This window comes from Homo sapiens, chromosome 15 (genome assembly GCF_000001405.40).
Source record: "Homo sapiens chromosome 15, GRCh38.p14 Primary Assembly".
Taxonomy (NCBI): Eukaryota; Metazoa; Chordata; class Mammalia; order Primates; family Hominidae; genus Homo; species Homo sapiens.
The window spans coordinates 90,759,320-90,786,245 of NC_000015.10; the positions used below are offsets into that span (position 1 = coordinate 90,759,320).

Below are 26,926 nucleotides of genomic sequence, written 5' to 3' on the forward strand. Positions count from 1 at the left end.
AGGAGGCCAAGGCGGGAGGATCACTTGAGCCCAGGAGTTTGAGACCAGCCTGGGCAACATGGCAAGACCCTGTCTCTACAAAAAATAATTAATTAAAAAAAAAAAAAAGAAGAAGATGTGTTGTGTTGCTGGGCACAGTGGCATAGGCCTGTAGTCTCACCTACTTGGGGAGGCTGAGGCAGGAGGATCTCTTGAGCCCAAGAGTTTGAGGGTTCAGTGAGCAGTGATTGCACCACTGCAGTTTAACCTGGGCAACAGAGCCAGACCCCCTTTCTTTCTTTCTTTCTTTCTTTCTTTTTTTTGTGAGACAAAGTCTCACTTTTGTCCCCCAGGCTGGAGTGCAATGGCACGATCTCAGCTCACTGCAACCTCCACCTCCCAGGTTCAAGCGATTCTCCTGCCTCAGCCTCCCGAGTAGCTGGGATTACAGACACGCACCACCATGCCCGGCTAATTTTTATATTATTAGTAAAGACGGGGTTTCACCACATTGGCCAGGCTGGTCTCGAACTCCTGACCTCAGGTGATCTACCCTTCTTGGCCTCCCAAAGTGTTGGGATTACAGGCGTGAGCCACCGTGCCCAGCCCCACTTTAAAAAAAAAAAAAAAAAAGAAAAAGAAATCAAGATCTTAAGACTTTTTTTTTTTTTTTTAGTGACAGGGTCTCACTGTGTTGCCCAGGCTGGTCTTGAACTCCTGGACTTAAGCAATCCTCCTGCCTTGGCCTCCCCAAAGGGCTGGGATTACAGTCATGAGCCACCATGCCTAGCCAAGACTTTTTTTTTTTTCCCTCAAAGAAAAATATTAACAACATAATTATTTTATAGCTAGACAGATAAGTTTACAGCAGCAGCTTATTCATGTGATGGAGCACATCTGTAAATTAATTGATACTATTCCTGATGATAAACTGAAACTTTTGGATTGTGGGAACGAACTGCTTCAGCAGCGGAACATAAGGTATCTTAATTTTCCCCCTTCTGGAATATATCTGATTATATTTCTACCACTCTAAGTGAAAAATGGACAGGGCAAAATGTTCAGGCTTTCTGGCCTGGAAATGGCATAAGGATGATCATCATGCCACTATGTTTTTGATTTGTTTACTTTTCAAACCACTCCTTTAACATTCGTATTCATGTTTTTAAGATTGGGAAAAAAGCGAATATATTTTGCTACAATTTCTATTTGGTATGAAAACTACAGATTTGCTTTTGTGGCCTACCAGAGTAAACTACTTATATTTAATACGTTGTTCTCTTTTCTCTCTTCAGAAGGAAACTTCTAACGGAAGTAGATTTTAATAAAAGTGATGCCAGTCTTCTTGGCTCATTGTGGAGATACAGGCCTGATTCACTTGATGGCCCTATGGAGGGTGATTCCTGCCCTACAGGGAATTCTATGAAGGAGTTAAATTTTTCACACCTTCCCTCAAATTCTGTTTCTCCTGGGGACTGTTTACTGACTACCACCCTAGGAAAGACAGGATTCTCTGCCACCAGGAAGAATCTTTTTGAAAGGCCTTTATTCAATACCCATTTACAGAAGTCCTTTGTAAGTAGCAACTGGGCTGAAACACCAAGACTAGGAAAAAAAAATGAAAGCTCTTATTTCCCAGGAAATGTTCTCACAAGCACTGCTGTGAAAGATCAGAATAAACATACTGCTTCAATAAATGACTTAGAAAGAGAAACCCAACCTTCCTATGATATTGATAATTTTGACATAGATGACTTTGATGATGATGATGACTGGGAAGACATAATGCATAATTTAGCAGCCAGCAAATCTTCCACAGCTGCCTATCAACCCATCAAGGAAGGTCGGCCAATTAAATCAGTATCAGAAAGACTTTCCTCAGCCAAGACAGACTGTCTTCCAGTGTCATCTACTGCTCAAAATATAAACTTCTCAGAGTCAATTCAGAATTATACTGGTAAGTTTAAAATAAATTGAATGCTTATATGAAAACAAAACTGTCCCAAAATAGGAATTATATAAGAAAAACCATAGCAAATCATCATTGCCTGAAAACATTGTTGCTATGCAAATTTCTACTGATGATATGAATTACAAATCACAATTTCAAAAGCAAGTTGCTCTTTTGTCTCTATAGCAGCTGTAGTTTTATAAAATGTGTAATTATAACCTATTGTAGTACGGCTCTAAAGTCATTACAAATGTGATGTGCCTTTGAATTAACATTTTTTAGTTCCTAAAACAAACTCATGAGGGCCAAGTTTTTAATGATTTTGGGATGGGCAAAAGCAAAAATGGATTCGCATGCTAAAAATGTATTTTAGAATTCTGTACTGATGAGAATCGATTAATACAAAGTAGAGAAGCATGTTTTATGTGTTAAAATGTTAAAATATAGGGTAGTCTATAAAGGATATGAAGTCAGGAGTGTCTTAAATCAGTCAAACTACTTCTTTGGGTCTAAGGGCTCACTGCATGCCATGTGCTATGTTGGGCGCCGATCATTTAAAGATGAATAACAAATACTAAGTAGTTCCTGCCCTCCTGGAGCTCACAGCTTAGTGAGAGAGAAGTTTTGAGAGGAATGAAATTAGCCACTGAAGGCTCCAGAGAAAAGCCAAAAATAATTTTAAAACCTTACATCAACCCTATAAAGTTATCAAAAGTATTTTTTAGCTGAAATAAGTTTATAAAGTACAGCCCTCCCTATTTTTGCCATTGATGACTTAATACCACGGAGGTTTTTCTTACAGTTACGCTGCTGACCTTTAAAACAACGATTAATGGATTTATTTTTGTATCATGTTAGAATGTGTCATACTTGATGTTTGCAATTATCTTGAGACAGTTGAGTGTTGGGGTTAGCGTAACTGCCAGAGCTCCGTGAGTACCTCTTGTTCTCTGTGCTGAACCAGAGTTGCGACAGCCAGGCTGCAGAGCAGGGGCACGTGTGAGAGATGTTATGAAAGAAGAGCCTGAGGAAGCTCAGATGACTCCAAGGTTTCAGACACTGATGACTGGGAAAACTGTGACACCAGTAACACAAACAGGGGAGTCAGGAGGCGGAGTCAGATTTGGAGAAAAGCTGAGAAGGGCTAGTTTAAGTCTAGAGGTTAAAGTGCTGGTAAGTCATTCAGGTACCAATGTCTTGCAGACAACGGGAGCTGTGTGCAGGACTGGAACTTAGGAGGGTGTCAGTTGGGTCTTAAGAGAGGTGTAGGCATTTGCTGCACACGGGTCATGTTTAAGATCATAGGACTAGGAAAGCTCCAAAAAAGAATGTCTACAGAGCCCAGTCCCAAATATCTGAAAGACTCCCTCCCCTATTTATGGGGCAGATGGAGGTAGTAGAGCCAGGAAAGGGAATTTAAAATGAGTAGAAAACCATGATTGTCTTGGTGGTCATGGTTGGAGGAAGGGAGAAGAGGAAGGAAAGAATAAAAGTAGTGGTAGGTGCTGTAGAAAAAGTCAAGGAAATACTTGATTTGGGACTTTGGCAAGTTTTTGGTGGCTTTGAGACTTGTAGGGAAGGAAAGCCAGTAAAGAGTTTAAGAACTGTGCTGCAGGGAAACGTGTGCCAGTGATTCTGCAGGGCAAGGGAAATGCTAAAGCTGTACTTTCACTGTATTCATGTACTGATTTTTCTTAACGTTGATTATTTTCCTAGACAAGTCAGCACAAAATTTAGCATCCAGAAATCTGAAACATGAGCGTTTCCAAAGTCTTAGTTTTCCTCATACAAAGGAAATGATGAAGATTTTTCATAAAAAATTTGGCCTGCATAATTTTAGAACTAATCAGCTAGAGGCGATCAATGCTGCACTGCTTGGTGAAGACTGTTTTATCCTGATGCCGACTGGTATGTATTTTTAGAAGTGAATTGGCAGGAATCCATTGGCAGATGTTAAATGAAAGCTCTTTAATAGAAATAAAAAGACCACCTACACAGTATTTCTATCATTTAGGGACCTCTTAAACCTCCTGTACCATAGTGAGAAAGCATATTACTTTATATCCTTTGTTCTGGTTGTTGACATCATGAAGTTTATAGCCCTGTAAGATTTTCAACTCGAAGCTCATTGTGTTGAACTGATCTAGAATTTTTCTTTGGGAATTTTTCTTTTTTCTAGTCTAAGCAGTTTTGGAAATCAAACAGAAAAATCGCTGTCAGAGACCATGACCATTTCTGGCAGTTTATTTGCAACAATCTGGTGTTGCATAGTGGTTAAATCATATATGCATATATGCATAGTGGTCCATCAGCTATGGACCAAAGGCCTGGACTTAAAGAACAGCTCTGCTGCTCACAGCAGTGTGGCCACATGCAAGGCACTTTACTCCCTGGGCCCATTTTCTCATGTGTGCAATGGTGATAGCAGTAAAGTACCTGGTTCACAGAGTGGCATGAGGATTAAATGAAAATCATTTAGCACGATATTGTGTTGGCCCCACTTTAAAGAGTCTAGGACATTCATTGTGCTGTTAAAGCTTATGACAGCTGTTCAATGATTTATAGTCATTCACATGAGAATATTAAATCAACAGGGCAGAGCGCAAGGAGAATTTGCAGTTTCAGTACCTATGTGTAGTCCTCCCTCTGTCTATCACCTGACTTGTGACCTTTAGCAAGTTAGCTAGTGCTGTCATTATTGTATAATGTTGACTGGGCATCTGAACTTTTTCATCCTGGTTTTTAGATTTAGATAGCCTTGGCTTAATAATCAGCATTTCAATTTTTATTAATTTATTAATCACTCTGTGCCTTCCTTTCAACCCTATTTTGGTGTTTCAGAACTCTAACGCTGGAAAAAACCTTGGCAATGATCTAATCCATTGATTTTTTTTTTCCAGGGCTTCCCATTGTCCTTTAGGGTTTCAAGACGGCATTTTTAAGGTCCTTCCACCCCAATTTCAACCACTTGTGAGAGAGAGATATATATAATATATAATTATATATAATATGTATATTGTATTGTATATAATATGTCTATTATATATAATTATAATATATAGTGTGTGTGTAAATATTCCAAATAAGGTTTATTTTATTTTTATTTCTTATTATTTTTGAGACAGGGTCTCTTGATCTGTCACCCATGCTGGAATACAGTGGTGCTATCACAGCTCACTGCAGCTTCAACTGGGTTCAAACAATCCCCCCCACCTTAGCCTCCCAAGAAGCTGGGGCTACAGGCATGTGCCACCACACCTGGCTAATTTTTAAATTTTTTGTAGAGATGGGATCTCACTGTGTTGCCCAAGTTGATCTCAAATTCCCTGGGCTCAAGCAGTCCACCTGCCTCAGGCTCCCAAAGTGATGGGATTTATAAATAATAAAAGTAAATAAACATTATATAGAAAGTAATTATTTTAATCCTAGTGTCATTTTTAGAGACTCTTCTACTACTAGAAATAAAAACTTTACTGTATTCCACTACATTTTAAGTTTCCTGCCCTAATTCTTGCCTTTGCTATTATATATGTCTATATAAGATGTCCTAGGCCGGGCGCAGTGGCTTGTGCCTATAATCCCAGCACTTTGGGAGGCTGAGGCAGGTGGATTACCTGAGGTCAGGAGTTCAAGACCAGCCTGGCCAATGTCTCTACTAAAAATACAAAAATTAGCAGGATGTGGTGGTGCATGCCTATAGTCCTAGCTACTGGGGAGGGTAAGGCATGACAATTGCTTGAACCTGGGAGGTGGAGATTGTAGTGAGCTCAGATGGCACCACTGCACTCCAGCCTGGGCAACAGAATGAGACTCTGTCTCAAAGACAAAAACAAAAACAAAAAAAACACTTTTTTTTTAAAGATCATTTTTACACATTATTTAAATTGCCTAAATATAATAGTTTGAGTCATTTGAGTATGGCAAATTGTTGGCACCAGGGACAATATGCCTTGGTGTCCTATTAATGATATGATTTCTTTTGTAACTTTTACATTCATGCTCTGAAGACAGAACCTGACAGATATTTTTTCATTGTTCTCTTTCAGGAGGTGGTAAGAGTTTGTGTTACCAGCTCCCTGCCTGTGTTTCTCCTGGGGTCACTGTTGTCATTTCTCCCTTGAGATCACTTATCGTAGATCAAGTCCAAAAGCTGACTTCCTTGGATGTAAGTTATAAAAATACTAATAAAAACACGCCTTAGAAACAATTAAATTTCAGTCCTCTGGATAACCTTTTTATTAAATAGTTCGTGATTTGTAAAAAATAAAGCACAGCAGTTAAATTTGCAGTTGAACAGAAGTCTGAAAATTTGATACAGATAACCTCTAGTTCAATCTGTTTTTATTCTACAAGAATGTATCTTAGTAAGAACTTTTAACCAATGCTATTTTTTGCTGATGTAAATTTTTTTAACGAATAGAAAATCATTTCTTTTTTCAGTACTGCCAGGTCGGCATAGTTCTCTTTCCCTTATATCTTAAAGTGCATACACACATGCATGCCTGCACACATATATCTTTTTTTCTCATGGCTGAGTTTAAGGAAGTAAATGAATGCATTCTACTTAACTCTTCACAATGTAGTTGGGGGTGGTGGCTCATGCCTGTAATCCCAGTGACTTGGAAGGCAAAGGTGGGAGGATTGCTTGAGGCCAAGAATTCAAGACCAGCCTGGGCAACACAGCAAGACTTTCTCTACAGAAAAATAAAATAAGCTGGACATGGTGGTGAAAACCTGTGGTCCCAGCTGCTTAGGAAGCTGAGGGAAGAGGGTCGCTAGAGCCCAGGAGTTTGAGGCTGCAGTGGGTCATGATCATGCCACTACAATCTAGCCTTGGTGAAAGCGAGACCCCGACTCAATCACATTGTGATTAAAAAGAACTGTTTTAAGAGTTATGAGTCACCACCCCTCAATAAGACCACTAGTTTGGTTTTCTTCCAAAGAATGTCTTAGTGCAGTGGTGGTAGCCATTGTTCAACCATTTGTCATATTATGGCCCCTTCATTGTCATTAATCTTTAAAACCCTGAAATACATTTATCTAAAAAAAAGATGCCATACAGTAGGACTGGAATATCTTGTATACCAAATTCATATTTATCTTATTTACAAAGATGAAAAATAAAGCAAGAAAAGGAAATAAATAATGAGAAGACCATTTTGTGTTATGCTTTTTTTTGTTTTGTTTTGTTTTGTTTTAAGACAGTCTTGTTCTGTTGCCCAGGCTGGAGTGCGGTGGTGCAACCTTGGCTCACTGCAACCTCTGCCTCCCAAGCTCCAGCAATTTTCCTGCCTTAGCCTCCTGAGTAGCTGGAATTACAGGCACCTGCCACCACGCCAGGCTAATTTTTGTATTTTCAGTAGAGATGGGGTTTCTCCGTGTTGGCCATGCTAGTCTTGAACTCCTGACCCCAAGTGATCCACCTGCCTCAGCCTCCCAAAATGCTGAAATTACAGGCGTGAGCCACCACGCCCTGCCTGAGTTATGCTTAATAAGGGTTTTTTAAAATGTATGTACTTACATACTTGTTATGTTGAGATATGTATTTCCTTTGATAGGTTTGATATGTGACTAATAAAATATTTATAAAACCTAAGGACAAATGTAATTTTGTCAGGTTAATGTATAAAATTGAAATTGTTTACTACTTTTATACTTAGATTCCAGCTACATATCTGACAGGTGATAAGACTGACTCAGAAGCTACAAATATTTACCTCCAGTTATCAAAAAAAGACCCAATCATAAAACTTCTATATGTCACTCCAGAAAAGGTTTGTATTTATATCATTATTTTAAAATATATTAAAGACCACTAGAATACATATATTTTTAAGATTTTAACAAAATTTTGTATACGTAGTGCAAAGAATTTTTGTACAACTTTCATCCAGAAACCCCAAATGGTAACATTTTACTATAATTGCTTTGTATTCTCTCTCTGCATATATTTTCCTGACACATTTGATTGAAAATTGCAGACATGGTATCCTTTTAAGCCCTAAGTACTTCACTGTACATTTCCTAAAAACAACGTATTCTCTCATATAACCTCAGTACAATGATCAAAATTAGGAGATGTACATTGATGCAGTACTATTACTTAATCTGTAAACCTTATTCTGGTTTCACTAGTTGTCCCAATAATGTCCTTTATAGCAAAAGAAAATCCCAGATCATGCATGCATTCCGTTGTGCTTCTCTGTAATCTTGTAAACAGTTTCTCTCTCTTAATATCTTTCGTGATTTTGAAGTTTTTGAAGGCCAGTCGTTTTCGGAATTGTCCCTCAATTTGAGTTTATCTTGCTTCCTCCTGCTTAGATTCCTGTTACTCCTTGAATATCACAGAAACAGTGATATGTTCTCATGCCCACTGTCAGGAGGCACTTGATGTCGATTCGTCCCATTACTGACAATGTTAGTTAACTGATCGCTTGGTTATGGTAGTGTCTGATAGACTTCTCCGCTGTAAAGTTACTCATTTCTTTTTGGCCTTTGTAATTAGTAGATATCCTGTTGTGGGATGCTTTGAGACTACGTAAATACCCTGCTAGTGATCAGAATTTTACCCACAAGTTTTAGTATCCATTGATGATTCTTCCCCAAATCAGTTATTACTATGATAGATATAAAATTATTTTTTAAATGTAGTTGGTGTTTTGCCATAAGGAAGAGTTTTCCTGTTGGTTACACTTTTTTTTTCTTTTTTTTTTTTTGAGGTAGAGTCTCACTCTGTCACCCAGGTGGGAGTGCTCGGCTCACTGCAATCTCGGCTCACTGCAACCTGGGTTCAAGTGATTCTCCTGCCTCAGCCTCCCAAGTAGCTAGGAATACAGGTGTGTGCCATGATACCTGGCTAATTTTTGTATTTTTAGTAGAGATGGGGTTTCACCATCTTGGCCAGGCTGGTCTCAAACTCCTGACCTCAGGCGATCTGCCCACCTCGGCCTCCCAAAGTGCTGGGATTACAAGCGTGAGCCACTGTGCCCAGCCCACATATTTATTGATACTAGCATGAACTCGACTTCTTAATTTATTCAATGAGTTACATTCAATTATCAAGTATTTTGATGTTCTAATTGTCCTACATGTGACCAGTGAGACATCTCTCTCAAGCTGGCTTCTCTGTCCTTTTGACATGTCCCGGTCAAGATGTGAGTGCTACATGTGCTCGTTGCTACTGAGATGTCATTGCTTCTAGGCCCTGTTATGAAGAGAGCTATAAAATATATAATTTTTCCCCCAGCCAACACGCATCCATATAACCCAGATATGTAACCCTGTTGCCAATGTAAATGTATGGTGGCCCTCAGATGTCTTGAAGCAGACAAAAGTTTGAGAACCACTAACCTGCTAAATAAGCTGTTTGCTTAATGTTGGTGAACATTCTAAAATTTGATCTGCTATTTTCTATTACTTCTGCTGTTCTCTTCATAGATTGAAATAAGAACCAATTTTATATGGAGGTGTTTTTGTTTTTGTTTTTGTTTTTTCGAGACCGAGTTTCGGTATTGTTACCAGGCTGGAGTGCAGTGGCACGATCTTGGCTCACTGCAACCTCCACCTCCCGAGTTCAAGCGATTCTCCTGCCTCAGCCTTCCTGAGTAGCTGGGATTACAGGCATGCACCACCACGCCCGGCTAATTTTGTATTTTTAGTAAAGGTGGGGTTTCACCATGTTGGTTAGGCTGGTCACAAACTCCCGACCTCGGATGATCCACCCACCTCGGCTTCCCAAAGTGCTGGGATTACAGGCGTGAGCCACCGCACCCGGCCTTATAGAGGTTTTAATACAGCTTAAGTTGTGATGGAATTTGAAGACCACAGAATCATGAGGTGATGTGTTTCAGTGTTTTTACATGTCTAATGTATTTCTGGCCTAGATCTGTGCAAGTAACAGACTCATTTCTACTCTGGAGAATCTCTATGAGAGGAAGCTCTTGGCACGTTTTGTTATTGATGAAGCACATTGTGTCAGTCAGGTAAATACTGTTTTTTATATCCGGAAATACCGATAAATACATACTACCAACAATATATGTATTTACTGAATAAAAACCCACACTGAGTGAACGAGTCTCCTATTTTACTGAAGAATAAGGTAGTTCTTAATACATTGAGCAGTGTTGGCTTTTTATAGAAGGAAGCTCCAAGTAGTCTGAAAAGCAGTATTTTTTTTTCCAACTAGTGGGGACATGATTTTCGTCAAGATTACAAAAGAATGAATATGCTTCGCCAGAAGTTTCCTTCTGTTCCGGTGATGGCTCTTACGGCCACAGCTAATCCCAGGGTACAGAAGGACATCCTGACTCAGCTGAAGATTCTCAGACCTCAGGTGTAAGTTGTTGCACGTCACGTATTTGAGAACCCTGGGGCAGTGACTGCCAGAGCTGCTACATGTTAGAATCACCTGTGGCGCTTTAACGCCACCACCCCACCCCCACCCCACCCCCATGCCCAAGTTGTAACCCGATGGCAGCTAAATCAGAACGTTTGGGGCTGAGAGCCAGTATTTTTTTAAAAATCCCCAAGTGATTACAATGTGCAGCAGAGTTTGGGAACCAGAGTCCTAGGGCTTTTCTTCACTTACTGAAATTAAAACTCCTTTTCAGTACCTACTTTAGAAGTAGGGATAAATTGCATGCCATATCTATCATCCCTGGTATAGTCCCAGTAATAAATTAATTTTTACTTATCTAATTTTGGCTTCCATATATCCTAGAGTATACTTCTTGAAATGAAAGATGACCCTGCTTTGTCATTTCCCCCTAAGGTCCCAGTTGAATCCAGGATGTTGAAAATAGTCCAGATACTATGTCGAATAGCTTTTTTACTTTGTTTTCTTCTCAACAACAAAATGCTTCTTGTTGCCACCAAATCCATAATTCTTCAGTAACAAAATCTACTATAAAAGAAATCCCCCCCCCCTTTTTTTTTTTTTTGAGATGGAGTCTCGCTCTGTCGCCCAGGCTGGAGTGCAGTGGCCTGATCTCGGCTCACTCCGAGTTCTGCCTCCCGGGGTTCACGCCATTCTCCCACCTTAGCCTCCCGAGTAGCTGGGACTGTAGGCGCCCGCCACCACGCCAGGCTAATTTTTTTTGTATTTTTAGTAGAGACGGGGTGTCACTGTCTTAGCCAGGAGGGTCTCGATCTCCTGACCTCGTGATCCGCCCGCCTTGGCCTCCCAAAGTGCTGGGATTACAGGCGTGAGCCACCGTGCCCGGCCAATCCCCACATATTTATCTAGGCTGTACTGGATTATTTTATACTTCTACCTGAGTTTGTAGAGATATGGATTCTTTGGTAGGTTTATTCACTCAGCAAATATTTATTTAACAACTGTTGTGTGCCGAGTTTAAAGTATTTTTTTCTTCTGATTTATTAGTGTGCACTTTAGTTTCAGATGTAAACATTAACATGGTATGCCTGAAGGAGTAATGACTGAATTGGATATTGAGGTGAATTTTTAAAGCACGGCTTTTGTTCATTTGAAAATAAAGACAAGCTGGTGCTATAAATATTATAAGCAGTAAGAATAGCAACAGTATCTCTTAGAGGGTTATGAGAAGAACTGAAGGTTCCTTATGAAGGATATGAATGGGTCATGTGATTAAGATAGCTACAAAAGCTTTTGCAGGTTAAACTGGCAGCTTCTAAATTATCTGATCTAAATCAAGGAATTCAAGCATTTTGGGTTTCTTCCAGCCTTTAAGTTGTTTGGTTCCAGCCTAGAATTATTTTATTGCTAGTAGCACTGTTATATAGCACAAATGACCATACTCAAGTGCAAGGATTTTAGAGTCCTCAGAATTTTGTGTGTGTGATCACAAAGTTTGGAATGGAATATTGTAATTTAATCTCACTTGCAGAGGAGTATTTGTATTAAATTTGGGGAAAAATATTTTGCGTCTATAATTGATATGCATTATAATGCTATATTTAAGATGTCGTATTAGGCTGGGTGCAGTGGCTCATGCCTGTAATCCCAGCACTTTGGGAGGCCGAGGCAGGTGGATCGCCTAAGGTCAGGAGTTCGAGACCAGCCTGGCCAACGTGGCGATACCCCATCTCTACTAAAAATACAAAAATTAGCCAGGCCTACTGGCGTGCGCCTGTAATCGCTGCTACTCAGGAGGCTGAGGCAGGAGAATTGCTTGAACCCAGGAGGCGGAGGTTGCAGTGAGCCAAGATCACGCCACTGTACTCCAGCCTGGGCAACAGAGTAAGGCCCTGTCTCAAAAACAAAAAACAAAAAACAAAAAAAAAGATGTCATATTATACTTTAGATTCTAATAAATAACCTATTTGCAAGTAAGTACTTCTGTAAGTACTACATTGATCTATAATTTTTTTTTTTTTTTTTTTTTGGAGACAGGTCTTACCATGTTGCCATGTTACCCAAGCTGGTCTCGAACTCCTGGGCTTAAACAGTCCTCCCATCTCAGCCTTCCTAAGTGCTGAGATTCTTCTGTCCTCTTACGCCGGATGCAATCTACTGTTCTTTTAGATCAGTTACATCAATGGCAAATGCCTATAGTTAAATGATAAAAAAAATTTCTTTTCCTTTTGAATGACTTTTTGTAAGTATAGGATTTGTGATTTATGTTTGAGTAAACAGTGTACATATTTATTTATTTATTTAGAGGCAGGCACCTTGAATCTGTTTTCTTAGTACTGTGGGGAAGAGATCTGCCTGGGAAAGCAAGGTTGTGGATTTCCAGTCTCCAGCACTTGGTACATAATTGGCACTCAGTAATAATCAATAAATGAAAAATGTGAAGGAATTTGGGTAAATGTAAAAATGTAGGCATGTCTGTTGACTCCTTAATGTGTTTGGCACTTCTCTGCATTTGGAAGTAGGAAATTTTAAGGAATACTTTCTGGGACTCTGTTTCCTGATCTTTTCTGCCAGTAGGCCCTGGTTTGGATTAAATTTGCTCAACTGCTGCTATGTCGTGGCCCTGGCGAAGTCAGGTATTCCTAAGGTTGAAGCCACAGCCCCTGTGCTGCTCTCCTCCCGCCAGTCTGTAATAATATTCTTCCTCTTTGGGAAATATAAGGCACACAAAAAAGGCTTTATTCCATTTCCTTAGGGCCTTAAAATATGAACTGGAAGAGAGCAAAGAGACAGGCACATAGAGTTAACTATAATAGAACAATAATAATAGCTAACACTTACATATCCAGCCTACTCAGTGTGCCAGGCACTGTTGTCATTTTAAGTGTATTTACCTCCTTGTCCACACAAAAGCAAGGTAGGTACTCCTATTTTCCTCATTCTACAGGTGAGGAAATTGAGACACAAAGAGATTATATAACTTCATATGCCTAGCAAGGGTTGGAGTGAGAACTTAAAACACCAGATAGCTGGTTTCAGAATCCTTTAAATACTAGGTCAAATTGCAGAAAGAAGAAAGCAGTGATTTGAGATGTAAATTACAGCTGCAGGAACTGAAGAAGACAAGATAAGCTAGAACCCCCAGTAACAGCTGTTACAAGGAGGGGTCAGATCAAGTTTTGTAAAGGCACTGGGCATTGTAGGAGGAGTAGTTTATTTAAAAGCATAGGTTGGGCATGGTGACTCACGCCTGTAATCCCAGCACTTTGGGAGGCCAAGGTGGGCGGATCACCTGAGGTCACGAGTTCAAGACCAGACTGACCAACAAGGAGAAACCCCGTCTCTACTAAAAATACAAAACTAGCCGGGCCTGGTGGTGCATACCTGTAATCCCAGCTACTGGGGAAGCTGAGGCAGGAGAATCACTTGAACCCGGGAGGCGGAGGTTGCAGGGAGCCGAGATTGCACCACTGCACCCCAGCCTGGGCAACAAGAGCGAGACTGTCTCAAAAAAAAAAAAAAAAAAAAAAAAGATAAAAGCGTAGACAGCAGCCGAGCGCAGTGGCTCACAGCTGTAATCCCAGCACTTTGGGAGGCCAAGGGAGACGGATCACCTGAGGTCAGGAGTTGAAGACCAGCCTGGCCAACATGTTGAAACCCCATCTCTACTAAAAATATAAAAATTAACCAGGTGTGGTGGTGGGCGCCTGTAATACCAGCTACTTGAAAGGCTGAGACAGGAAAATTGGTTGTACCTGGGAGGCGGAGGTTGCAGTGATCCAAGATCATACGACTGCACTCCAGCCTGGGTGATAGAGCGAGACTCCATCTGAAAAACAAACAAACAAAAAAAGGCTTAAACAGCTGTATTGAAATAAAATTTACATACCATAAAATTCACCTAAAGTTGACACTTCAATGGCCTTTTTTTTTTTTTTTTTTTTTTTTAGTTTATAAGGTTGTGCAGCCATCACCATTATCTAATTTTAGAACATTTTTGTCTCTGTTGAAAGGGAGAGTATACCCATTAGCAGTCAATTCCTACTTTCTCACTTTCCCCATTCTTAGGCAACCCCTCATCTACTTTCTGTCTCTGTAGGTTTGCGCCTATTCTGGACATTTCATATAAATGGAATCACATAACATGTGGCCTTTTGTGACTGACTTCTTTCACTGAGCATGTTTTTAAGGTTCCTCCATGTTGTAGCCTGTTTTCAGTATTTCATTCCTTTCTATTTTCAGATAATATTCCATTTTATGGATCCTACTTTCTGTTTTATTTGCCCATTCATCATTTGATGGATGTTCAAGCTGTTTCAGTGTTTTGGTTTTTTTGAATAATGCTGCTGTGAACATTTGTGTAGAAGTTGTTCTGTGGTCATCAGTTTTATTTCTCTTGGGTTGCTGGGTCTGTGGTAACTGTATGATTAACCTTTTCAATTCAAGGACTACTAAACTAGTTTTCAAAGTGCCTCCGTCTTTTTTTTTTTTTTTTTTTTTTTTTTGAGGCGGAGTCTCACTCTGTCACCCAGGCTGGAGTGCAGTGGTGCAATCTCGGCTCACTACAACCTCCACCTCCTGGGTTCAAGCGATTCTCCTGCCTCAGCCTCCCAAGTAGCTGGGACTATTTTTGTATTTTTGTATTTTTCTAATTTTGTATTTTTAGTAGAGATGGGGTTTCACCATGTTGGCCAGGCTGTTCTCAAACTCCTGACCTCAGGTGATCCACCCATCTCGACCTCCCAAAGTGCTGGGCTTATAGGTGTGAGCCACTGCACCCGACCGCCTCCATCATTTTATATTACCTTCAGCAGTGTGTGGGGGTTGCAGTTTTTCCACATGCTTATCAACACTTGTTACTGTCTTTTTTTATTACAGCTATATGAAGTGGTAGGTGAACGGCATTTTAGCAGGCAAAGAGTGAAAATTCAGGGCTGAAGTTTCTGTTATAAAAGTACAGGTCAGGCCAGGCTCGGTGGCTCATGCCTGTAATCCCAGCACTTTGGGTGGCCGAGGCGGGTGGATCACCTGAGGTCAGGAGTTGGAGACCAGCCTGGCCAACATGGTGAAACCCCATCTCTACTAAAAATACAAAAATTAGCCGGGCGTGGTGGCATGCACCTATAGTCGCAGCTACTCGGGAGGCTGAGACAGGAGAATTGCTTGAAACCAGAAAGTGGAGGTTGCAGTGAGCCGAGATCATGCCACTACACTCCAGCCAAAAAAAAAAAAAAAAAGTACAGGTCAGGCCCAAGGAATGGTGAATAATCCATTGGATAAGTGGAGAAACATAGAGAAGGGATGACCCTGACAAGGTGGCTTGACGCCAGATCATGGAGGATCTTGCATATAACGATGGTAAAATGTTTGGACTTTATTCTTTTGGCACTTTAACCTGGGAAGTGGCTTGATCTGAACTGTGTGGATGAATGATAACCCTGGCAAGAGAATAGAGGAGAGGATGAGTGAGAGAACAGAAAGTTAGAGGTAGAGCAGCCCTTCAGGAACTTATTGCCTATTGCAGTCATTGAGGAGAGATGATGCTGGTGGAAACAGCAGAAGTGGAAGGAAGAAACAGAGTCAAGAGAGAGGGCAGGAATGGTAACTAAATGGAATGAGAAGAGTGGATACGGTTGAAGTTTATACTAGTTCCTGGGGCAGGTGCCTAGAACCATTGACCATAAATGGAATGGAGGAAGGAAGATGAGTAATAAATTTGATTTTAGATGCATGATGCCTGGGATGTTTAAGGGATGAGTGGATGACCACGATAGCCATCTTCATACCTTCTTTGGTCACATGTACCTCCTGAAAAAATCCTGGAAAACTATGTACCTCCTGCATATATACATATATGTTTTAAATATATATATAATATATATGTATTTTATATATATGTGTGTTTTTATTTTTTATATATATATGTGTGTGTGTGTGTGTGTGTATTTTAGACCAAGTTTCACTCTTGTCGCCCAGGCTGGAGTGCAATGACACGATCTCTGCAATCTCCACCTCCCGAGTTCAAGTGATTCTCCCGCCTCAGCCTCCTGAGTAGCTGGGACTACAGGCACTTGCCGCCATGCCCGGCTAATTTTTCTATTTTTAGTAGAGACGGGGTTTCACCATGTTGGCCAGGCTGGTCTCAAACTCCTAACCTCAGGTGATCCACCCGCCCCAGCCTCCCAAAGTTCTGGGATTACTTGAGCCACCACGCCCGGCCATAAGCATACATTTTGATTGAGAATGTATCTCTTAATGAGATAGGCCTTTTGTTTGTTTGTTTGTTTAAGAGATGAGGTCTCGTTATATTGTTCGGGTTAGTCTGGAATTCCTGGCCTCAAGTGATCCTCCCACCTTAATCTTCTAAATAGTGTGGACTACAGGTCCACACCCAGCTAGGACTTTTGTTGTTCACTTAGTTGACATATCTGGATGAATTGGGTCCATTTATATTTCTTATTTTTATGGATGTAAGCACTAAGAAATATTGCTCACATAAACATGTAGATGGGAATGGAAGGCATTTTTTGTAGCTGTAACAATTATTTGAATTCCTTCTGATGTATATGCCAAGATTACGTAATGATCAGTCATCAAAAATTATTTTTAATTATCTGTCAATTGACAACTCAATTAGGTCTTTCAAATTTGTGGTAAGCAAAGAATTGGAAACTCTCTGGGAAAATAAGCAAGATCAATCGTTATTCACTTTACTTTTTCTAGGAAAAATACCCTAAAAAAAAGCTTTACCAATACTTACCTAATGACTATTAAGTAGTCTTATTATTCTTTCAACAAGAATCTTGTTCCCTGTATCCAATATGTATGGAAGAGTTGGGGAAATCAAAATACTGTTAGTTTCAGTATACCTTTCCAATATGATATTTTTGACAAAATACTTTTATTGTGTGATACGCTTTTCTAATAACTTTTTTGTTGTTGTTTTTTGAGACAGAGTCCCAATCTTTCACCCAGGATGGAATAAGTACAGTGGTGCGATCTCGGCTCACTGCAACCTCTGCCTCCCAGGCTCAATTTATCCTCCTGCCTCAACCCGCCAAGTAGCCAGGACTACAGGCGTGCACCACCATGCCTGGCTAATTTTTATGTTTTTTGTTTGTGTTGTTTTTTTCGTAGAGACGGAGTTTCACCATGTTGCCCAGACTGGTCTCGAACTCCTGAGCTCAAAGGATCTGCCTGCCCCGGCCTCCCAAAGTGCTGGGATTACAGGCGTGAGCCACCATTCCCAACCATATTGTGTGACATACTTTTAAATAGAGTTTTGTCAAAACTGTGGCTATAGATTAGCTCTTTCCAAAAATGGGAAATGACCACCATATAACCTAATTGGTAAAGCCAGTCTTTATTGCTAAATTAGACTTCTTTTCTTTGTGGGTTTTGTTTTGTTTTGTTTTGTTTTTGTTTTTGTTTTGGAGATGGGGTCTTACTCTCACTATGTTGCCCAGGCTGGTCTTGAACTCCTGGGCTTAAGTGATGTTCCTGCCCTAGCCTCCTGAGTAGCTGGGACTACAGGCACATACTACCATGCCTGGCTGGCTTCATTTTCCTTTTCTTTTTTGAGGGGGGTGGGGGGAATGGAGTTTCACTCTTGTTGCCCAGGCTGGAGTACAGTAGCTCACCGCAACCTCCACCTCCGGGATTCAAGTGATTCTCCTGCCTCAGCCTCCCAAGTAGCTGGGATTACAGGCGCCCGCCACCATGCCCAGCTAATTTTTTGTATTTCTGGTAGAGACAGGGTTTCACCATATTGCGCAGGCTGGTCTTAAACTCCTGACCTCAGGTGATCTGCCCGCCTCGGCCTCTGAAAGTGCTGGGATTAGAGGCGTGAGCCACTGCACCTGGCCTCATTTTTCAATTCACATAAACTATTTAGTACACATCCCATGACAACTATTGTCAATTCCAAAAGCAACAAGCTGAGCTCTAATTGACTTTGTTTCCTCACACAACACTTTGAAAAGACATGAGTTTGACACCCCAAACAGGATAATATTTACCATTTTAATGGTAATATCCAGCAGAACCTTAGACAAGAAACAGTAGAATCTAACTTTTAAGAAAACTTTATTAAAATGTAATTCACACACTATAAAATTCATCCATTTAAAGGGTACAATTTAGTGGGTTGCTTTTTTTCTGTATTTTCACAGAATTGTACAACCATCCCCAATATCTAAGTTTACAGCATTTTTATCACCCCAGCGAGAAACCTGGTACCCATTAGCAGCTGCTCCGCATCTTCTCCCTCTTGTTTGTGCCCGGCTTCTTTCACTGAGCGTAGTTTTCAAGGGTCATCCATGTTGTAGCATTGGTCAGTAAGTACTTCATTCATTTTTATAGCTGAATAATATTGCAGTGTATCAGTATTTTGCATTTTATTTATCCATTTATCAATTGATGGGAACTGTCTGTAACTAGGTATTTGGTAATTCCAAACATCTTATTTTCCAACAGGCAGAGTAAGATTTGTTACATGTAATAAACTCCAAGGGTCTATTAACTTTTTCATTATAACAAATTGTGTAAATATTGCTTTCAGTTAGTTACCCACAGTCCTTTTGCAGTAGAGATAGTTGTCTTGGTTTTAATTGGATTCATGATCTACAACTTTATGTTCTAATCTCATGTCATTTTTATTATTTTTAGTAAAAGTAATTTGTTTGACTAAATTAACTGGTAAACAGTTCTGAGCTTTTTCAATTGTGTCTACAAATTTTAAGAAATTCAGATTATGTGCCAGATGTTTTTAGTAACAGCTTTGTTGCGGTATAATCCACATACCATACAATTCCCATATTTAAAAAGTACAATTCAAAGTTTTTAGTATATTCAGAATTGTACAACCATTGCCAGAGTTTTAGAACATTTCATCACCCTCCAAAAACACCCATGCCCATTGCAGTTCAATCTCCTTTTCCCCTCACATCCCCATCCTGCCAGCCCTAGGCAACCACTAATCTGCTTTCTATGTATAGATTTGCCTACTCTGGGTATCTCGTGTAAATAGAATCATCCAATATGTGATCTTTTTTGTGACTGTCTACTTAGCATAATGTTTTCACGGTTTATTGGTGAATAATATTCCATTGTAGACGTCTACGACATTTTATTCATCAGTTGATATTGGGTTGTTTCCATTTTTATTTTTTACTATTATGAATAATGCTGGTATAATCATACATGTATAAATTTTTGTGTGGACATATGTTTTCATTTCTCTTAGGTATATGCCCAGGAGTGAAATTATTGGGTCATATAGAAACTCTATGTTTAACCCTTTCTTTTTTTTTTTTTTGAGACGGAGTCTCACTCTGTAGCCCAGGCTGGAGTGCAGTGGTGCGATCTTGGCTCACTGCAACCTCCACCTCCCAGGTTCAAGTGATTCTTCTGCCTCAGCTTCCTGAGTAGCTGAGACTACAGGTGTGCGCCACCACGCCCAGCTAATTTTCGTATTTTTAGTAGAGATGGGGGTTTCCCCATATTGGCCAGGCTGGTCTTGAACTCCTGACCTCATGATCCGCCCAACTCAGCCTCCCAAAGTGCTGGAATTACAGGCATGAGCCACCGTGCCCAGCCTATGTTTAACGTTTTAAAGAACTGTCGCACTGTTTTCCAAAGTGGCTGTGCCATTTTACATTTTCACTAGCGATGTATGAGGGTTCTAATTTTTTCATATCCTCACCAACACTTGTTTTTGTCTCTCTTTTTGACCCAAAGATTTTTTTAAATTAATAAAACACTTTTCTGAAAATAAATATATTTTTTTAATGTGGGAAAAAGCAATAAGGCCATTGTTATGCCCAGTCACCATAGCATTCCTATCGGTGGAGAGACTCATGCACCGTTTCCAACTTAAGCCCAAATCAACTCAAATGCATTTTAAGATTTTCTTCATCATTTGTATTCCTAGACAATTCTTTAATCTACTACCTTTTTTGCCACAATCTGCTACACATTCTGCCTTTTCAAGCACTAAAAGGACTCTAGGAGTTTTTTGCAAAGAAATGCTGTCATAAGAGTGGTGGTATCAAAGTATTGTTTAACGGTAGTCTCAAAGACTTTCAGGGTAATGCATTCTGTGATTATAGAGATGAAAGAAACAACATCATAAAGTGAAGGTCATCTTCATTCCCACCACCTTATTCTCAGTATATCTGAAATCAGAACATCCTAATAAGGACCAAAATACTTTGTTCCTAGTTATTCTTCACCCTTAACAGAAATAAGTAAAACACCGAAAGATATGAGGCCCTCCTACCAAGGATTTCTAGTGCTTTAATTAAAGAAAATTTCACCTACACTCATACTATTTTTCAGTTTGCTTTGTTTGGTGTCCTGGAGGTTTTTACATCCTGGAACAGTGCACAGTGGTAAAATTCAGAATGGATGAAAAGTAGGATTGGTTTGTTTGTTTTCAGGAAGTGAGGCAATCGTAAAAGGGAAAAATGGGAAAGGCGAAACAAGCAGGATGTCTTTTTTTTTTTTTTTTTCTTTTTAGACAGAGTCTCACTCTTCGCCCAGGCTGGAGTGCAGTGGTGTGATGTCGGCTCACTGCAACCTCCGCCTCTCAGGTTCAAGCGATTCTCCTGCCTCAGCCTCCTGAGTAGCTGGAATTACAGGCACGTGCCACCATGCCTGGCTAGTTTTTGTATTTTTAGTAGAGACAGGGTTTCACCATGTTGGTTAGGCTGGTTTCAAACTCCAGATCTCATGATCTGCCCGCCTTGGCCTCCCAAAGTGCTGGGATTACAGGCGTGAGCCACCGCGCCCGTCCAGGATGTCTTTTTTCTAATTAGAGACGAGGGTCTCACTTTGTTGCCCAACTGGTCTTGAATTCCTGGGCTCAAGTGATCCTCCTGCCTTGGCCTTCCAAAATGTTGAGATTATTGATGTGAGCCACCACCCCTGGCCAGAATTTCTTGTCTGTGGGAGCATTCTCAGATCAGTCTTATGAAAAAGGACAGCCAGCCCTTCCTATCTGCAGTTTCTGCATCTGCAGATTCACCCAACTGTATATCAAAAACATTTGAAAGAAAAATAGTTTCTGAAAGTTTCAAAAAGCAAGATTTGAATTTGCTGAGCACCAAGCGCTATGCTGTGTCCACATGAATGAAGTGATGTGTAGGCATACTCTGCTGTATCCTCCCGCCAGGACAGAAGAAAAATGTCACATAGTTACTGACAGTACAGTGTAGCAACTATTTACATGGCATTTATTTAATACATTGTATTGAGTATTATAAGTAATCTAGAGATGGTTTAAAGTGTGCAGGAGGATGTGCATAGGTTATATACATATACTACACCATTTTATATCAGGGACTTGAGCATCCTTGGATTTAGGTATCCGAGGAGGCCCTAGAACCAATCCCCCATGGGAAACCAAGGGATGTGAAAATTGAGGGTCTGAATTTGTTTAAGATTCACAGAACAGACTGAAAAGACAAGAGAGGAGATAATGGAGAGAACAAGCTCACTGAGGAAGTGGGCGGGAGGAAATGGGGCAAGAATAGTAGACCAGAGGAAGAGGAGGAGCACATCTGTCTCAGAGTCAGCCACATTTTATTTGGGGCCAAGAACAAAAATAAAGTGACTGTAATCAGTAGGGCTTTAACTCCTTCTGCTGTCCTGCAGTTAGCTTTTTATGTATCCTGGGGTGTCCAATCTTTTGGCTTCCCTGGGCCATACTAGAAGAAGAACGATTGTCTTGGACCACACATAAAATACACTAACTGGCCGGGTATGGTGGCTCACACCTGTAATCCCAGCACTTTGAGAGGCCAAGGTGGGCAGATCACCTGAGGTCAGGAGTTTGAGACCAGCCTGGCCAACATGGTGAAACCCCATCTCTACTAAAAATAACAAAAATGAGCTGGGTGTGGTGGCGGGCACCTGTAATTCCAGCTATTCAGGAGGCTGAGGCAGGAGAATTGCTTGAACCCAGGAGGTAGAGGTTGCAGTGAGCCAAGATCGCACCCTTGCACTCCAGCCTGGGTGACAAGCGCGAGACTCCCTCTCAAAAAAATAATAATACACTAACAGTAACAATAGCTGATGAGCTTTATAAAAGAATCATAAAAAATCTCACTGTTTTAAGAGAGCTTATGAATTTGTGTTGGACCACATTCAAAACCATCCTGGGCTGCATGTGGCCCGTGGGCTGCGGGTTGGATGAGCTTGAGTACCTGGTCAAAATTTGGGAACATTGATGGCCTAAAAATACGTATATTTCCTGTGTGATTTCCTTAATATTTTAAATAATGTTCTAACCATCTCTGCTTTTAGTCAGCCTCATCTTGGAGTCAAGAGACTGGGCTCCTGACTTACTTTGTCTTTCTATATGTTTTCTCTTCCACAATCCTAATTTTTTGTCATCTAGTCCCATAAACATTCCCTCTTTATCACCATTCTTTTCTTTAACCCTTAGCCTTACTTCCATTTCAGTGTTCTATTGTGTAAGCTGCTAGCGACAATATTCAACTTAAGACTACTTGGTAGGCTGGGCCCGGTGGCTCATGCCTGTAATCCCAGCACTTTGGGAGGCCAAGGCAAGTGGATTGCTTGAGGTCAGGAGTTCGAGACCAGCCTGGCCAACATGGTGAAACTCTGTCTCTACTAAAAATACAAAAATTAGCTGGGCGCGATGGTGGGCATCCATAATCCCAGCTACTTGGGAGGCTGAGGCAGGAGAATGGCTTGAACCCAGCAGGCAGAGGTTGTAGTGAGCCAAGATTGTGCCACTGCACTCCAGCCTGGGCGACAGAGTGAGACTCTGTCTCAAAAAAAAACAAAACAAAACAAAACAAAAACTACTTGATATTAGCTTGGGCTGCTATGACAGAATACTGTAGACTGGGTGGCTTAAACAACAGAAATTTATTTCTCTTGGTTCTGAAAGCCAGGAAGTCCAAGATCAAGATGCTGGCAGATCCCAAGTCAGATGAAGTCCCTCTTCCTGGTTTGCAAGTGGTAGTATTCTCTTTGCATACTGACATATGCGGGTGGGGAGAGCCAGCAAGGTCTCTACTTATTTTTGAGCACTTATCTCATTCATAACTCCACCCCTCATGACCTAATTATCTCCCGGAGGCTCCAACTCCTAATACCATCACACTGGGGGTTAGGATTTTAGGGGGGACACATGTAGTCTATAACAATACCTAAAGTCATATTTTCTCATAATAACTAAATTTTATGTTTGGGACTTTTTTAGGTTTAGCATGAGCTTTAACAGACATAATCTGAAATACTATGTATTACCGAAAAAGCCTAAAAAGGTGGCATTTGATTGCCTAGAATGGATCAGAAAGCACCACCCATGTGAGTACAGCCATGTGATTAGCTGTCTAGAAGTAACAAATGTCTTTTTAGTACCACAATAAGATATATAAAATTGCATATTAAACATTCCTTTTTGCATTATGACAGCACTAACTTGCTCTTTATAGAGCAGACTATTGCAACTCTCTCAATTCTGGAAATTATAAAATCTCATTTGGTTTAATAACAATAAATTCTAACAAAAATATATTAAATACTCCCTCCTACACACGTATATTATAACTTTTGGTTTCAATGTCTTTCCTCAGGCTTCTATCAGTGTTTGAATTATACAGCTTTTTGTTTTAGTGCCTTGTCCCAAGCCTGTCTGCCTTTGCATTATGTTAACTAAAATGAGATTCTGAAATTCATAGTAGTTTTCCATGTAACCCCCTTTCCACTTTTCCATGGAGAATATTTTTGGTATTTCTATTTTATTTTTTAGAAATTAGTATACATATTTGTGTGGACAAATCAGTCAGTAGAGATCTACCAAGAAAAAGTCAGTGATTTCCCCGCTCAGACTCACCTCCCCCAGGCAGCTAATGTCAATAGCTTCATGTGTATATCTAGACCTTTGGCTCAGTCACAGAGAGATGACTTTTCCTTTAATATCTTTTAATTTCCATTTCTAAAAATAACACACATAATAATAAATATAATATATGCTCATTAAAGAAAATTTATATGGCCAGGCACTGTGGTTCACGCCTGTAATCTCAGCATTTTGGGAGGCCGAGGTGGGTGAATCACTTGAGGTCAGGATTTCAAGACCAGCCTGGCCAAAACGGTGAAACCCCATCTCTACAAAAATTATCCAGACGTGGTGGCACGCACCTGTAATTCCAGCTATTCTGGAGGCTGAGGCAGAAGAACTGCTTGAACCCGGGAGGCAGAGGTTGCAGTGAGTTGAGATCGTGCCACTGCACTCCGGCCTGGGCGACAGAGCAAGACTGTCTCAAAAAACAAAAAAGAAAATTTAGAAAGCAACAAAAAGAAGAAACAAAAGACAAACATCACTCAATGAGCAAAATCACTGTTATGTTATTATTAATTTCTAGTATTTTTCTATGCATTTTTTTCTACTAGCATACTATATACGTTTCTACCGTTAATCTACTTTATATATCATGAGCATTTTCCCATGTCTTTTAAAAACTTAGAAAACACTTTTGATAGTTATAGTATATTTTATTTCACAGTTCCCTGTATTTGTTTCCCTAATGTTGCTCAGTAAAATCTTTGTAATTTTTAAAGTTTGAAGTAAAACTTTTGTTTATGTCCTTGTATCACTTTATTTCCTAATTTCCCAGAAAGAAACTGAGTCAAAGGTATTTCTAAGACTCTTGATACATACTGCCATATGCTTTTGACAAAGTTTGTGCAAGAATGGCTTTTCTTTTTTTTTTTTTTTTTTTTTTTTGAGGCTGAGTCTCACTCTATCTCCAGGCAGGAGTGCGGTGGTGCGATCTCGGCTCACTGCAACCTCTACCTCCTGGGTTAAAGTGATTCTCCTGCCTCAGCCTCCTGACTAGCTGGGATTACAGGTGCCCACCACCACACCTGGCTGATTTTTTTTGTATTTTTAGTGAAGATAGCTTTTCACCATGATGTCCAGGCTGGTCTCGAACTCCCGACCTCAAATGATCTGCCCTCCTTGGCCTCCCAAAGTGCTGGGATTACAGGCATGAGCCACCGCGCCCGGCCAAGGATGGCTTTTTTATACCCACATGTATCTAGTGTGAAGTAGAGCCCAGAGTTCATCCAGGTCCACCTCACGAGTCATTAGCAGCGACAGGATTAAAAGCCACATCTCATTTCCAGCACACATGAATTCCTTGCTTGAATTATTCACGTGTGTGGTCTTCCAGCAGTATAAGAACACTACGGGAGATCTATTTATGGTTCATATATTTCTGAAAATGTAGTGTAAATTGTGTTTTTGTTTATGTTAAAAATTCTTGTTTCTCAGTACTCTTGGTTTCTTGGCAGATGATTCAGGGATAATTTACTGCCTCTCCAGGCGAGAATGTGACACCATGGCTGACACGTTACAGAGAGATGGGCTCGCTGCTCTTGCTTACCATGCTGGCCTCAGTGATTCTGCCAGAGATGAAGTGCAGCAGAAGTGGATTAATCAGGATGGCTGTCAGGTAACATTTTTAAAGATAAACAAATAATAGAAATAATCTTTTATAGCATATAACCAAACATGCACATGTAGAATGCAAACTGTTTTTACCTTGAAGGTAGTAAACATCAAAATAAGACTGAAATTTAAAAAACAGATTTTCTTTGAGACTTCTAAAGTTGCTTTTTCTTTCATAAAAAAAATCTGCTTGAGATATAATTCACATATCATAAAATTTATCCTTTCAAAGCAAACAAGTTAGTACTTTTTAGTTTATTTGCAAAGTTGTACAATAATCATCTCTATCTAATTCCAGAATTTTTGATCACCATAAAAAGAAACCTCATACCCAGTCACTTCCCCCACCCCCTAATGCCTGGAAACCACAAATCTACTAACTACTGCTAACCTGTTTCTAGAGTTTATTACTCTGTACATTGCATGTAAATAGAATCATACAGTATGTGGTCTTTGTGACTTTTCTTTTTTTTTTTTTTTTCCGGAGACAGAGTCTCACTCTGTCGCCCAGACTACAGTGCAGTAGAGAGATCTTCGCTTACTGCAACCTCCGCCTCCCAGGTTCAAGTGATTCTCCTGCCTCAGCCTCCTGAGTAGATGGGATTACAGATGTGCGCCACCATGGCCAGCTGATTTTTGTATTTAATATTTTTAGTGGAGACTCAAACTGGTCTCGAACTCCTGGCCTCAAGTGATCCACCTGCCTCAGCCTCCCAAAGTGCTGGGATTATAGGCATGAGCCACCTCGCCTGGCCTGTTTGCTTTTATTTAGCATAATTTTTTCAAGATTTATCCATATTTTAGGATATATGAGTACTTCATACCTTTTTATGGTCAGATAATATTCTGTTATATGGATATAACACAGTTTGTTTATCTACTCATCAGCTGGTTAGACATTTGGCTTGTTTCGTTTCTTTCTTTTTTTTTTTTTTTTTTTTTTTGAGACAGGGTCTTACTCTTTCATTCAGGCTAGAGTGCAATGGCATGATCTCTGCTCACTGCAGACCGTACCTCAAACAATCCTCCCACTTCCCAAGTAGCTAGGACGACAGGCGCACCACTATGCCTGGCTAATTTTTTTATTTTTTGTATAGACGAGGTCTCCCTGTGTTGCCCAGCCTGGTCTTGAACTCCTGGGCTCAAGTGATAATCCTGCCTCAACCTA

The 26,926-nt window shown here is 40.3% G+C and overlaps 1 protein-coding gene across 7 annotated transcripts in view; it reads left to right on the plus strand.

The window, feature by feature from the left end:
• Positions 1-26,926, plus strand: part of BLM (BLM RecQ like helicase) — a 98,821-nt gene that overhangs the window by 41,974 nt on the left and 29,921 nt on the right. For 3 of the 7 annotated variants that reach the window (NM_001287246.2, NM_000057.4, NM_001287247.2), the window contains 9 exons: positions 828-960; positions 1,275-1,936; positions 3,647-3,838; positions 5,977-6,095; positions 7,591-7,704; positions 9,814-9,912; positions 10,119-10,267; positions 23,503-23,609; positions 25,602-25,762. In NM_001287246.2, coding sequence (NP_001274175.1) covers positions 828-960; positions 1,275-1,936; positions 3,647-3,838; positions 5,977-6,095; positions 7,591-7,704; positions 9,814-9,912; positions 10,119-10,267; positions 23,503-23,609; positions 25,602-25,762 — 1,736 coding nt within the window. Of the gene's footprint in view, positions 1-661; positions 961-1,274; positions 3,104-3,646; positions 3,839-5,976; positions 6,096-7,590; positions 7,705-9,813; positions 9,913-10,118; positions 10,268-18,439; positions 18,629-23,502; positions 23,610-25,601; positions 25,763-26,926 lie in introns of those variants that run through there. The other 4 variants (NM_001287248.2, XM_011521882.4, XM_047432934.1 and 1 more) reach the window with 4 other exon arrangements.